This window comes from Homo sapiens, chromosome 13 (assembly GCF_000001405.40).
Source record: "Homo sapiens chromosome 13, GRCh38.p14 Primary Assembly".
Lineage (NCBI taxonomy): Eukaryota > Metazoa > Chordata > Mammalia > Primates > Hominidae > Homo > Homo sapiens.
Window position 1 is genome coordinate 89,262,575 of NC_000013.11, and position 15,257 is coordinate 89,277,831.

The following is a 15,257-nucleotide window of genomic DNA, read 5'->3' on the forward strand; positions in this document are numbered from 1 at the left end:
CATGTTCCAGATCTTAGAGAAAAGGCTTTCTGTTTTTCCCCATTCAGTATGATACTAGCTGTGGGTATGTTGTATATGGCTTTTATTATGTTGAGGTATGCTCCTTTTATATATTGTTTTTGAATGGATTTTATCATAAACAATGTTGAATTGTATCAAATGCTTTTTTAGCATCAATTGAAATGATCAGCCAGCCGCAGTGGCTAACGCCTGTAATCCTAGCACTTTGGGAGGCTGAGGCCAGCGGATCACGAGGCCAGGAGATCAAGACCAACCTGGCTAACACAGTGAAACCCCGTCTCTACTAAAAATACAAAAAACTAGCTGGGCGTGGTGGGGGGTGTCTGTAGTCCCAGCTACAGGGGAGGCTGAGGCAGGAGAATGGCGTGAACCTGGGAGGCGGAGCTTGCAGTGAGCCGAAATTGCACCATTGCCCTCCAGCCTGGGCGACAGAGTGAGACTCCGCCTCAAAAAATAAATAAAGAAAGAAAATAAATGATAATATGGTTTTTGTACTTCATTCTGTTGCTATGATGTAGCACATTTATTTTCATATGTCAAACAATCTCTGCATCCCAGTGGTAAATCCCACTTGGTCAGGATAAATAATCTTTCCAATGTATTGTTGAATTCAGTTTGCTAGTATTTTTTTATTTTGAAATATCTTTGGTTTTGGTATCAGAGTAATACTGGCCTCATAGAATGAGTTTGGAAGTATCCCATCCTCCTCTGTTGTTTGGAATGGTTTCAGTAGAACTGGTACTAGTTTTTCTTTAAATGTTTGGTAGAATTCAGCAATGAAGCCATCAAGTCCCAGGGTTTTTTTGTTTGGTTTTGTTTTGTTTGTTTTTTTACTGGGAGACTTTTCTTACTGATTTTCTCTTTTTTGCTTTTATTTCCTACTTGAAAGTATATATGTGCTTATCTTTATTCCCAATCTCATAATCTTTTGCCTTTAATTTTAATGCTTTTTCTACCTTCTTCACACGGATTCTGAGATTGTTGAATTTTAAGATTCCTTTTTTTAAATGCATATATTTAAAGTTATAAGTTTCCTTTCAAGTAGAAATTTATTTGCACCCCCATAAGTTTAATGTGTTATATTTTATTAATATTAATTTCAAGCTGTTTCTAATTTTTACTGTAGTTTTTTCCAGACAATATAATTTGGTTGTTTCGTTTCTAAATATTTGTGCTTTTTTCTGTTATTACTTTTATTGTATTAATTTGTAACTTGTCAAAGCACTTTTTGTATAAATTCTTTTTTATTATTAATTTATAAACTTTATTTTTAGAGAACTTTTAGGTTGACAGTAAAATTTAATGAAAAATACAGAGTTCCCATGAACCCCACACTATAAAAATGCACAGCCTCTTCCACTATGGACAAACCTCAACCAGAGTAGTACACTTGTTAAAATTATGAACCTACATTGACACATCATTATCAACTAAGTCCATAGTTTACATTAGGGTTGTACCACAGTTTAATTATTCATTCACCTGTTGAAAGACATCTTGGTTGCTGAGGCAAATGTCCATGTGGAGGCTTCTGTGTGGATACAAGCTTTCAGTTCATTTGGCTAAATATTAAGGATCATGATTTCTGGATAATATGGTTAGAATATGTTTAGTTGTGGGAATGTACCACTTTGCATTTCCACAAGCAATCAATGAAAGTTTCTGTCATTCCACATCTTCAGTAGCATTTGACACTATCTCTGTTTCAGGTTACGGCAATTCTAATACATGCATAGTGGTATCTTATTGCTGTTTTAATTTCCAATTTCCTAATAATATATGACATTAAGTTTTTTTATAAACTTACTTGCAATCTGTGTATCTTTTTTAATGGAGTGTCTGTTGAGCTCTTTTGTTTATTTTTAATCAAGTTGTTCATTTTCTTTTTATTTTTTCTGGTTTTACTGAGATATAAAACTAAAAATTGTGTGTGTGTATATATATGTATATAATGTATCATGTGATGTTTTGATGTATAAAAACATTATGAAATGACTACCATAATCAAGCTACTTAACATATTCATCATCTCAGTAGTTATATTTTTTTGCATTGTGGGGGAGAAAGAGAACATTAACAACCTACTGCATTAGTGAGTTTCAAATTACAATACAGTATTATTAACTCTATTTCCCATGCAATACATTAGATTCTCAGAACATATACATCCTGCTTAAATAAAACTTTTTATCCTTCATCCAGAATCTCCCTATTGCCCCCACTCTCTAGCTCCGGCAACCATTATTCTGAATTCAAATTTTTAAAATAACATATGATCTACTGTTTTTTACTTTTTGACATAAACTTTAGAATAATGTTAGATATTACATTTTATAAATATCATTTAGTTGGGGCTTGCTGAGTGTTGTTTAAATGTATACTCACGGATTTTTCTTTTGTGTGCTTCTTCTGTTGTTTACTGAGATAGTTGCATTAAGAACACCAACTACTTATTAAATAGGGAATCCTTTCCCTATTGCTTGTTTTTCTCGGGTTTGTCAAAGATCAGATTGTTGTAGATATGCGGCATTATTTCTGAGGGCTCCGTTCTGTTCCATTGATCTATATCTCTGTTTTGGTACCAGTACCATGCTGTTTTGGTTACTGTAGCCTTGTAGTATAGTTTGAAGTCAGGTAGTGTGATGCCTCCAGCTTTGTTCTTTTGGCTTAGGATTGACTTGGCGATGCGGGCTCTTTTTTGGTTCCATATGAACTTTAAAGTAGTTTTTTCCAATTCTGTGAAGAAAGTCATTGGTAGCTTGGTGGGGATGGCGTTGAATCTGTAAATTACCCTGGGCAGTATGGCCATTTTCACAATATTGATTCTTCCTACCCATGGAATACTATGCAGCCATAAAAAATGATGAGTTCATGTCCTTTGTAGGGACATGGATGAAATTGGAAAACATCATTCTCAGTAAACTATCGCAAGAACAAAAAAGCAAACACCGCATATTCTCACTCATAGGTGGGGATTGAACAATGAGATCACATGGACACAGGAAGGGGAACATCACACTCTGGGGACTGTTGTGGGGTTGGGGGCGGGGGGAGGGATAGCATTGGGAGATATACCTAATGCTAGATGACGAGTTATTGGGTGCAGTGCACCAGCATGGCACATGTATACATATGTAACTAACCTGCACAATGTGCACATGTACCCTAAAACTTAAAGTATAATAAAAAAAAAGAAAAAAAAAAAGAACACCAACTACTTTTGAAATATTTCTGTCTATTCTTCAAGCTATTTTGCAGTTTTTCCTTTAAAAATCTTTAAACTATTTCATTGAGCATATACAAAATTAGGGTTGTTTTAGCTTCTTGATGTTTAACTTTTAAGCATTATTAGATTGTTATCTCTAGAAATGCTTCTTCCTTTGAAGTATACATTCTCTAGTATTAATGTAGCTATATTGCTTCCTTTTTGTTAATGTTCTCACATTACGCATGTTTTTATCCTTTGCTGTCAACCATTTTATTTATATTTAATATAGTTTTCTGTTATGCCAGCATATGGTTAGAATTTTGTTTCTCAGCTAGTTTGACAATGTTTGCTTTTAATTGCAGAATATATCCCATTTACATTTTATGAAATGAAGGGATTTCGTATTTATATGTACCACTTTACCATTTCATGTTTTTGTACTATTCTCTATTCTTTTGTAAGTATGTTATTTTTATGGAATACTACATGTTATAAAACAAATACATTTTTTCTTTTCTTCCTCTCTGTTAACTTGTTAATTGAAACTACTTTTACTTATATTCAATGGTTATTGCACGCATTGCAATATTTGTTCTTGATTAGTAAAATGAAATCAGTATATGTCTAATTATTTCCAAAAAATTCAAAGACCTCATAATTTTTGCCTACATTTATATCCCCTCTTAGATTTCCCACTCTTTTTCTTGCGCTTTATATTTCTGCATATATTTTAAACCTCAAAAGATATTGCTATTACTGTTCTCAGTAGTCGACGTTATCTTAGATTTATTCACATATTTGCCATCTGTATTCCTTTTCATTCCTTTCTGCCTTACAGTTTCTATCTGGACTAATTTTATTTCTGCTTAAATAATATACTTTATAATTTCCAAGGGCAGAGCTCTGCTGGTGAATGTTTCACTGTTTTTGTTTTTGCCGAAAATATATTTGTTTACCTTCATTTTTGGAGAATATTTTCTGTACAAAATATTCTTGCTTGGCAGTTATTTTCTCTCAGCACTTTCAAGCAATGTTTTTATTTTTTTCTTATCTCCACTATTTCTATTTGAAAATTAGCTACCATTCTTATTATTGCCTCTTTAAGGAAAATGTGTTTTCTTGTTTTTGCTTTTAAGATTTCTTTTTTTCCTTTTTTAGCAAAGTAACATAGGTGTGGTTTTATTTTGTATTTCTCCTGCCTCTGTGTGTGTGTGTATGTGTATGTGTGTGTGTGTGTGTGTGTGTGGTGTTTTGTTTCATATTGTTTTAGATCTCCTTGAAGTTGTGGATTCACATTAGGTTTTCATAAGTTTTAGAAAATTGTCCAGTTTTATTTTTTCAAGTATTGTTTCTGACTCAAGTTTTCTCCCTTCCCTTGGGAGCTTCATTAGATCTTATCATCATGAATTGTATGTCTTTTGAATACTATTGTGTATTTAAAATCTATTTCGGATGCATCAGTTCAGACAGTTTATCTTGCTCTAACTTTCAGTGTATTTGCTCTTTTTAATGCTGTGACTACACTATTTTTAAACCAATCTTTTAAATTCATAATATGTTATTGAATTATTCAGTTCTAAACCTCCCATCTAATTGATTTTTGTTTTTCTTTGCTGAAATTCCATTTTTGTCAATATTCTTTAATATTTAAATCACAGTAATTTTAAACTTCGTCTCCAGTAACTCTAATATCTTTATTGGTTGTGGGTATGAATTACTATCTTATGCATTTCTTTCGGTTTTTGTTCATTTGGACCTCTTTCTAACCACTATTTGTTTTTGAATTAAATTCTTTAAACATATATATGGAAAATTATATAGTGTGTGCAGGGTATTATTTTTCTCTGCAGAAGATCTACCTATTTTCACCACCTTGCACAGAACAAGAAATACATACCTGGTTTGTGCTTACATCTAGAGTTTAACCTTTTCAAGTCTCCCAAGTGAAATCCTAGGGTATGTACAAAGGTCCTTCCTCTTGTGTTGAGGGGTTCCTAAGCTCTGTATTTGTCTCTCCTGAGTGGTGAGACTGTTGAATCCACGCTTCGCTTTGTAGTTTCTGAGCAGCTGTTTTTATGCTTTCTTTATCTGAGTCATCACCTGTACTGGAACAGTGTAAAAGTTGAATAATGTCTTACAGCAATACTGTACTCACACTGTGTGGGTCATTTCTCTGTGGTTTTCCTTTCTCTTAGGATATTGCCCTCATTCTTGGTTGTTCAGAAGTCATACATTTTAGTGACTGTTTTCTCAGCCAAGGGAATGCTGCAAGTCCTGGATTGCTACTCTCAGTTTGCCCCTATGTCTCGCACCTAGAATTGAATAAAGGCTCAAAAAGAAAAAGCAGCAGTAAATGCAGGGCTCACCTCAATGCATGACCCTGTCCTATAGGATTGTGGCTCTGGAGTTCTGGCAGCCTTTGTTGTTTTATAAATGCCTTCAGTGATTTTTAAATATTTTATTCATCTTTTGTAGTTCTGTTCATCTGGCATCTGTCTCATGCCAGGTACACCCTGCTGAAATGGGTTTTTGTTGTCAACATCAGCTTTTCCATTTTAATCATTTATACATGTTTTATATATGAATGTGTTTGTGTGAATATATATGTACATTATTGTGCATAAATTATATATAAAGTATATACATTTCTATTCATGTATCGTATGTATATTATATATTCATATATAATACATAAATTATTTATATATTATACATGAATGACAGATGATACAAAATATATATATTATATTATGTATAATTTACATGAATTTTTAGTACATAGTTCCTATTTTAAATTATAACATAGAATAATCAAATTTTAGATGTAAATATGGACTAAGGGCTCTTTCCAATCAATTTCAAGTACATTTCTATTCCATATATCTATTAATTTAATAAGAATCTAGGGGGTTATTGCTGTTGTTTTTGTTTAATAGCACTATACTCAAATTTATATTTATATTTAAAAAAAGTTTTGCACGCATTATTAAAATAGTAACTGAATGTAAAGTACAATTATAATAATGAAGATTTTCTACTTTGACAAAATGAACTTTCAAAAATTTGACTTTGATTTAATAAATTCCATTAAAAATTCAAAACATTTATTAGTATTTATTCTTACTGATTTTCATTCTGAATTCTCTGATAATATTGATGTAAAACTAGTCATTTGTGGAAGGTTTCTGATAATAAAGTCAATACATAATTATTGCTTCACTTTGCATGTATGTGCCAAATACTTGCAAAAATGAGCAATATTAATATGGAAGTATAATTGTGAGATTTAGATAAAAGTATTTCTAACTACATATAGAATAGATAACCATTATATTTCTGTGACAGGGTTCACAGAAATAGAAATGTACTTTCTATAATTGTACCTTGTGAAAGCATCACTTTTGGGCACATTTTCTTTAAATACATTTTTTACTTTTGAAGTAAATGATGGCATTTCTTAATTAGTCTGGTGTTATTTGGTTTTCATCTTGTCAGAATTATTGGTACAACCCCTAACATGAATAACTTTCTCAAAGATTTTGTTTCTAGTTACAAATTCATGAAAAATGTCCAAAGTAAATTAAAGTCAGTAGTTAAATGTTATGTTAAATTTTATTATTTCTTTTAGTTAAACTCTGTGGGCTTTTTGCTGATAAATGTGATTATTGCCTAAAAAGATACAAAGAAATAATAAATTACATAAATAGATTTAGATTTACATTATGCAATACAATACTAATCCACTCTTTTAAACGTTTGCATATACTTTATGTACTCCACATAATGCTGTTCCACTAAGATTTCCTGCACAAATTTGCTTTCCCCTAGCCTATACTCTTCCTGCATTTTCAGTGACCTCACTGACTGGAAACTGGGCACCTCGTTCCTTCTCACAAGGTAAGGAACAGTCTTATCAAAGTAATTATAAACTTTGTTTCTGAAAAATTGAATATATGTATTAGTTGTGGGAATGAATTGCTATCTTACTCATTTCTTCTGGGTTTTTTCATTTTGATCCTCTTTCTTGCCATGCCTTGTTTTTTATAAAATTAAAACCAGATTCCTGACAGAGAAAGCAGCATCCTACTTCTATGACCCCAGGCAACAACCCGGAGTAGCTAGCTTTCCCTGCAGACTCATGTTTTATCAGTAAGCACCCTGCAGACTACACATGCAAATGAGATGTTAGCTATGATAGCTTCTGGGGAAGATGTTAGCTTCTTGGGGAGGTCAATAAAAGAAAGACAGGTTTGATCTCCTTTGCTTCAGATTTAGTGATGCATTATTGTGGTAAATCTTTTCGTTTCACATGCATCCACTAATACATGACACTTCATCAGAGACTCAAAGTCCAATTGGGAGGTATAGCAAATCCTCCAGCTTGTGTTAATGAAAATATAAATAAAACATTTTTAAAATAAAAACATTTAATATATATTAAACTGGAGGTAAAAGGGACTTTGAGTATAAGCCAGGATCTTCCCAGGCAAGTCATGATGTGTGACTTGTTCATGATACATAGGTAAAGTGTGATTATTTGAGAAATATTAAACATCATTGTTCCAGATCGAGGTGAAAACATAGACTATCTAGTTATCAGCATTAGCATACAATATAAACAATAGGCATTTTAAACAATGGATTATTTCAAAATATCAATTTGGCAGCTATATGGAATCCTCCACATTGCTTATTGAAAATATTAGTAAAAGTCTTATAGGGAAATATATTTACATCAACCAATGCATCAAAATCAATGTGATACTTTTATTTCAAAAGATATTATAAATAATATATGTGTTTCACTCTGCCCTATAGCAAAAAACTGCAGCAATGTAAAAAGGGATACTTTGCAAAGAGTTTAATGAGTGAAATAGATACACAGGAACAAGCAAAGTGTAGTGAAACCACAATAAATAGTGCAATGCCTTCTGGTTGGTAAAAATAGGTGTCTTTATGGTGCAGGCCAAAAGGGGCCAAGGGCTGAAGAAGAGAGAGGAATCCAGAAAAAGAGCTGCATGGGGAGGCAGCCAGCCAGGAGCTGTTTATTTTGGTCCAGGGACACGTCCAGGACATGAAAAAAATGATGGCTAACATTTACCTTGACCTCACTCTATTCCCTCCTACTGATCTCCCTCTGGGGATGCCTATTGGCAGCTATTACCTGGAAGACAGAGAGCAACAATCCAGCCAGCATCCTGGGGACAAGGAGAGGGATGAACAAGGATAAGGAATAGCTCTGAAGAGAAAAACAAAAGATAACCAGCACGATGTTGTTTCTTTCTTTTACATCACGAAAATATATAATTGAATTTACTTTGATTTCTGTCTCTGCTGCCAGAAAAATCTAATTTAAATTATATATTTCTTTTATTAATTTATATCAAGTACTGTCTTTGAAAAGCATTCTCAATTCATTTGAAGAATTAGGATAGAAATATTGAACTAAAAAAATGAATAATTGAAAATTAATATTTTAATTTTTTAACATTATCTTGTAGACATTTTTCTTAATCATTATCCTTGCGGTATGTACAGTGACTAAGAAAACAAAGAGCATTTCTTGACTTTCAGAAGGTGACCCAGCACTCATTGTAGGCCATGTTGTTCTCTTATGTAACAATTCCACAAAATTTCAACCTCAGACCAATCCTAAATCCATGATAAAATGAGACAAAGCAAGGCTACTTCATGAGTTTGTCTAAGTAGAACAAAATCTAGGTTGCTCCTCAGCCCACAAAATAACAGTATTTCCATTCTTTTGCTAAACTAGTGACAGCTACTTCTTTTTTAACCAATCATAAAATTGCCCCTGCTTTCCTTTCACGTCAACCAGCATATTAAAATCAATGTGAAATTCTTATTTTGAAATACATAAAATATATTCAAACTAGCAGAAAACCTTGCTTCCTTGGACCTTCTGCCAAATCACCCAAACTAAGTCCAAATCCTATAAAAGATTATTTATTTTTTAACCATCTTATTGTGACACCCAACAATTCCCTATAGTAAGCAGTCATACTCACTTCAAAGAGTAATAAATCCATTTTTTTAAACTACAGCTGTGTTCTTGGTGGTCTTTGGCTAAAGGGCATTAATAATAGCTACTCCTGTAGAGAAACTCCTCTGCACCGTAAGCATTACTTGTATTCCAGCCTGCCTTTCTTAAAATGATACAAGATGATATGAGAAAGCTGTCAATATAGCTTTTATAAGATCTGTTATATCTTGAGCTGCTAAAATTGGGACATTTTTTAAGTAAATAAATCATAATCATGTAGCAAATATTTCAAAAGGACAATTGCTAAAACCTTTTTAACAGCTACAATTGTAGGTTAATTATCAAAATCCCCTAATGATATTCATTGCTTGCAGGTATGGTTCACTTCAGTGGAAAATGGTGTTAATTGTAGAACAAGAAGATGACAAGCAATTAGATGTCTTCCTGAAGGAATTTTAAAAGCCTAATCTTTATATTAAAATAGATTAAAGAAAAAAATATTTGGGGAGATAATGAGAATTGCGTTTCAAATGGTTAACCCAGTGCATTGCCAAAAATGGCTTTTAGAATTCATATATTAAAACACATATGAGTTGGAAAAAATGTATATTTTTAAAATCTCTGTAAGTCTGAAACATTTTTAGATCTGTTTTATGATTGATACATTAAGAGACTTCATAGGTTTTACTGTAAAAATTAAAATGTTATTTTATTAGGAAATTTTTGCAAGGTTCTGTATATTTTGAACTAAAGTGCTTTTTCACAAACAGATACAGACAATATGTTCCAAAGCTTGTACCTGTGAGGTAGACCCATTCATTATTTACTGTATGCGACTGAAGCAAATTATTTAATCTTTTAAAATCTCAGTTTCTTTATCCTACAGTAAGGATTAGATTTGTTAATTCACAGATAATTCTTATATCAAAGAGGTGGTGCTGATGCTATTGTTATTAGTTAGGCCTGATGCTCTGGGTTTTATTAACGGTAGGGGTAGCCACCAAATCAGCATATTTGCAATTGTTTTCTTTTCTGGGCACTTTTTAAAAATAAGGACTCAGAATAATGTGCTTCAATTCTTCCCTAAACATTTTTTCCCTCTAAAAATTTATGGTAAGATTTAGAACCTGCCAGAAAACAGAGATATATAAACTATTTGTTACCTAAAAATATTAAATAAAATTTACTAGGAGAAGCCACAGAATTGGAATCCTCAGAGTTTAGGCTACTCCTTTCACACTTAATTCAGTCAGCCCTTTAATAACCCCATTCTTTGTCTGAAGATCAATTCACTTTGTGGTTTTTTTTTTCCCTCAGAAATTCCATCATTGTGGAGCTAATTATATCTGTGTTGATGCTAATCATTAACTAGCTTATTTCTATATATTTTTCTTATTATAGTGTCATAATACACCATGAGGTGGTTGGGTCCCATTTCCAGAACAACCAGAGTGACGTCTGAACAATGCTCTCTAAACAAGATCTTCATGTCTGCTCCCAAAGAGGGTTGCTACATTCTTAGCTTCCCTCAATTTAATTCTTTTATGATAAAAAGAAGGTAATGTATAAACATGATAAAAAAAGATAACATGATTAACCTGTCTTGTCATTTCACTCTCCTTTAACAATGCTGTGCTGACATGTCAATTTTCCTGCATTTAATAACACGATTTCATTTTTGGCTCTCCTCACTAAAGTTGGTGCTTTGCTCTTAATATATACAACAGATTTCAGGTTTGAGCAATTCCTGTCACTTACTAATCATATATTTGTTACAAAAATCATAGGTTTTTGACTTCTTATTTTGGATCAGCCACTTTTCCATTCTATTTCATTTAAGGCTTATACAAACATTTTGTATTAGACTTTATTGTCTCCATTTTATAGATGAGGGAACAAAGGTCAAGTAAATCAAATAATGTGCCCAAAATTATACAATATTTAAGAAGCTCATAAGAGTTTGAAATTAGGTGTGTCTGTGGCTAAATTAAATGTATCATCTATTTATTATCCTATACTTCCTCATTGAGAACATTTAAAAATATGCTACATTATATTAAGGGACCTGAAATAAACACAATATAACTTGATCTGCTAATGCTGCTCTGTGTGTATATATATATATATACATATATATATATATGTATATATATATATGTGTATATATATATATACACATATATATGTATATATATGTATGTATATATATATATATATACAAACACACACATATATGCACACACACACATATATGCACACACAATATATATCTGTATATACCTATAAATTAGTATATATGTAATCAATCATATACCTACATAAATTTTAGTCGACAACTATGTAACAGAAGCTCGGGAATTAGATTCTGAATGGCTCTCCATGGCCAAAAGCAGACTATTCCTATTTTATTTTTATTTTTGTAGTGTGAAAGTTATAAACTTTGCCTCTGACCTTTGTCTCTCAGTATTTGTAAGAAAGGGCACAGATTTGTGAAATAATTGATTTTTAATGTTTAAATGTGAACTTTATTTTTATAAAATAATTATCCTCCCTGAGAAGTCAAGAATATTAAGTTGAAATTGTATTTTCATCCTCAATAGCATTCATTATTAACCAATTATTACTAAAAATGACAAAATAGTTTAGATGGGCTAACAGTCTAAATTTAGTCACTTGATTATTCTTGAAGCACAACATAATCAGCATAAAAAATGTTGATAGTTTTCTACTCCCTTCAAAAATAAAGACAAAATATAACAATTTTGGTGACAACTATTTTTCATGTAAATAAAATCTCAAATTTTTGTGACAGTGAACAAAGTGCTTATTTGATTTTAATTCTTATAATAATGCTATGAGGCAGGTACTAGTACATTAAGTTTGTAAAATAGATCGAGAATTCAGTGCAGAATCTGAATATAGATTTCATATATCTTTTTCTTGACCACAAAGCTAAAAATGTTTTCACTAAGATTGAAATAAGTTCGTCTCATTTCAGTAAGAGTGAACAATTGTACTGCACAATTCGATAGATAATTAAACCTACTGCTCTTTATATTTTTTAATGAAAAACTATATTCTATTCTAAATATTTAATATGTGCCTGTTTCCCACAATAAACTGTGGCCTTACTGTCATCTAAAAAAGTATCATTGAGACTTAGTAACATGACAATTACGGTACACATGTTTTTTGGGAAATAAACATTTAGTTTGTATAAATTAACTGTGAGTTAAGAAAATATGATAGGATAAAAAGAGGAGAGAAAATAAAAAATACTTTAAGTAGAAAAATGAATGGGCCACCATTGATGCCTTTTCTAGCCTCTAAGTTACAGCTTTCCAAAGCTAATTTACCATTGGTATTGAACACATGGATTTGTGCCTAAAAAATGTGTGATTCTTAGTTAAGGGCAGAAAATTCCTCCTCCTCTTTGCAAGCGCAAATATAATTCATGTTTCCAGTAACAAAAGAATACTTTGCATTCTTGTAAAAGAAGAGGTAATAAATATGAAATGAATTGAGAGAGTTCAATACATATTCCGCTGTGGAATTGTGCAAAAGCCACTTCACCATATGAGCAAATGAACAACAAAATTATTTTATAGTTCTCTATGCTCAATAGTTTAATGTCAATTTTAAACTTAGAGGCTAGTAAGATGATGTTAAAGTTTTCCAGTTCCTCTTCATTTCTTTCTATTGAGCAGTGTTTGACTTTTTTTTTCTTTTGAACTCTTTTATAAAAATGAATATCCATTTTGTATTAGCATAACCTTTAAACTTCATAAGTTGATAAAGTACAAAGCTTGGTTTTATGCTGACTTCAGGTATAACTATATCTTATGAGAAAGTTTTCTCACTCAGGGTTCTCTAGGGTTTCACGACCTTTGAGAATATGTGTTTCAGTAACTACCAATTACAAGTTTGTCATTTAGGAAAAGTCAATTAGCAATAAAGCATGAATTACAGAATGATATAAAATTGTGAACTCTTCAATAATATCTTAAACCATAACATTGTATGTTGGTTAATATTTTATGCTCTTTCATCTTTAATTAGTGTGTCTCTACCATATTTAAAAATCTAAATATTTAAGTCTCAAGTATCCTCAGTTCAAATTAAAAATCAGTGTTTTATTAAAACTTTTGGTCCTTAAACATAATTTATTTGTTATCTTAATAAACATCTTATAGGAAGCTATGCAACTTTTCTTATTGATGACACCTTTTAAATTTTTCTCACATTTACTCTTTTGTTTCTATTTATTTTGTCATTACCAACATTATGAAATTTTTAATAATCTCAAAATTCATCTATTGCAAGGCATCTTGATTCCTTACAGGATGATATTAGATGTTTTAGTCCAAGTAATTTCATCATTCTAAATTCCCACCATCATTTAGAATATGGTAAAAATATAAAAGCCTTGAAATTAAGAAAACTATAAGTAATTCTTAGATACTTTGGTATTTGACATTAGAATGCAATTCTTTTATTGTTCAGAGACAAGAAAAAGTTTACTGAGTCTTTAAATATTTGTTTAACTTGGACTGTGTGTAAAATGTTGGTCCTCAAGTAATTCACAATTTAATGAAAAGGATAAACATAGAAAGTGGTAATTATAAAATAAACCAGTACAAGGGACAGCAAGTCATTTCTGTGAAAGACCAGAGAGCATATATTTTCAGCCTTGCAGGACACACTCTTCTCTGCAACAACTGCAAAGCTCTACTATTTAGCATGAAAGCTGCTACAGACGACGTAAAGGGGAGCCTGGGTATATTCCAACAAAACTTTGAGGACTATCGAATTTGAATTTCATGCAATTTTCACAAGTCAGATATTATCTCTATTTGATTTTTTTCAGCCATTTAAAAATATTTGAAACACTCAAAATTTTGGGCTGTACAAAAACAGGCAATTGGCTGAATTTGGCCAATAAATCTACATTATTTTCCTATAGCTGCTGTAGTAAGTTACCATAAACTTAGTGGCTTAAAATAACAGAAATTTATTATCTCACAGTATTAGAGGCCAAAACTTTGAAATCAGTTTCCCTGGGTGGAAATCAAGGTGTTTTCAGGGTTCTACTACCCCCAGAGGCTTAAAGGAAAAATCTGTTCCTTACTCCTTCCACCATCTGGTAGCTTTTGACATTCACTCCCATCTCTCGACTCTTTCCTGTGCTGAGTGGGTCCCTCCTGTAATTTTGCTGATCCTTCTGCCAGTATATTTTTCCTTGCACTAAGAATCTCCTGCTGGTGATTAATGCTGGTTTGTTTTATACACACACATGTGTGCACACACACACACAAACAGAACTTTCCTTTCTGGATTTGATAAATGAGATTATTTATTTATGGTAAAGAGGCAATTAATTAGAAGGAATAAGATCTAGAATTTGATAGCACAACAGGGTGACTATAGTCAACAATAATTTAATGTATAGTTTAAAATAACTGAGTATATAATTGGAATATTTGAAACAGAAAGAAATGATAAATGATAAATGCTTGCAGTGATGGTTACCCCATTTACCCTGATGTGATTATTACAAATTGCATGCTTGTATCAAAATATCTCATGTACCCCATGAATATATATACCTAGTATGTACCTATAAAATATTTTTTATTTTTTTTTAAAAAGAGGCAGTAAATTATTTTAAGCAATGGTGATAGCATGAGTATAACCACAGAAGTAAAATTAAATAAGTAAATAAATGATTTTAAAAATTAAAATACATTTTGACTATGGAAGAATTTCAGTCCTTTTGGAAAATAATGTAAATAGAAAAGACCAGTGAGTTATGAGGCAGAAAAAGTAAAAATGTCCAAACCATAATGATAAGCTAAGATTTCATCCAACTGCAGTGATTTGGTAGGGTGAGAAGATATATGTCAGGTTCTGTGTTTTGAATTTGTCACCATGTCTACAGTATAGATAGATTTGTAGATAACTCTGAGTACATTTATGATTTCTTTTCTGGAGGCCAGGAATTAAAGAATGAAGACTGGATTTAGGTGA

The 15,257-nt window shown here is 31.7% G+C and overlaps 1 long non-coding RNA gene across 1 annotated transcript in view; it reads left to right on the top strand.

The window, feature by feature from the left end:
- Positions 1 to 15,257, top strand: part of LINC00440 (long intergenic non-protein coding RNA 440) — a 44,950-nt gene that overhangs the window by 27,284 nt on the left and 2,409 nt on the right. The window contains exons 2-3 of the long non-coding RNA NR_047025.1: positions 7,058 to 7,126; positions 10,632 to 10,788. This is a non-coding gene — a long non-coding RNA (long intergenic non-protein coding RNA 440). The remainder of the gene's footprint in view (positions 1 to 7,057; positions 7,127 to 10,631; positions 10,789 to 15,257) is intronic.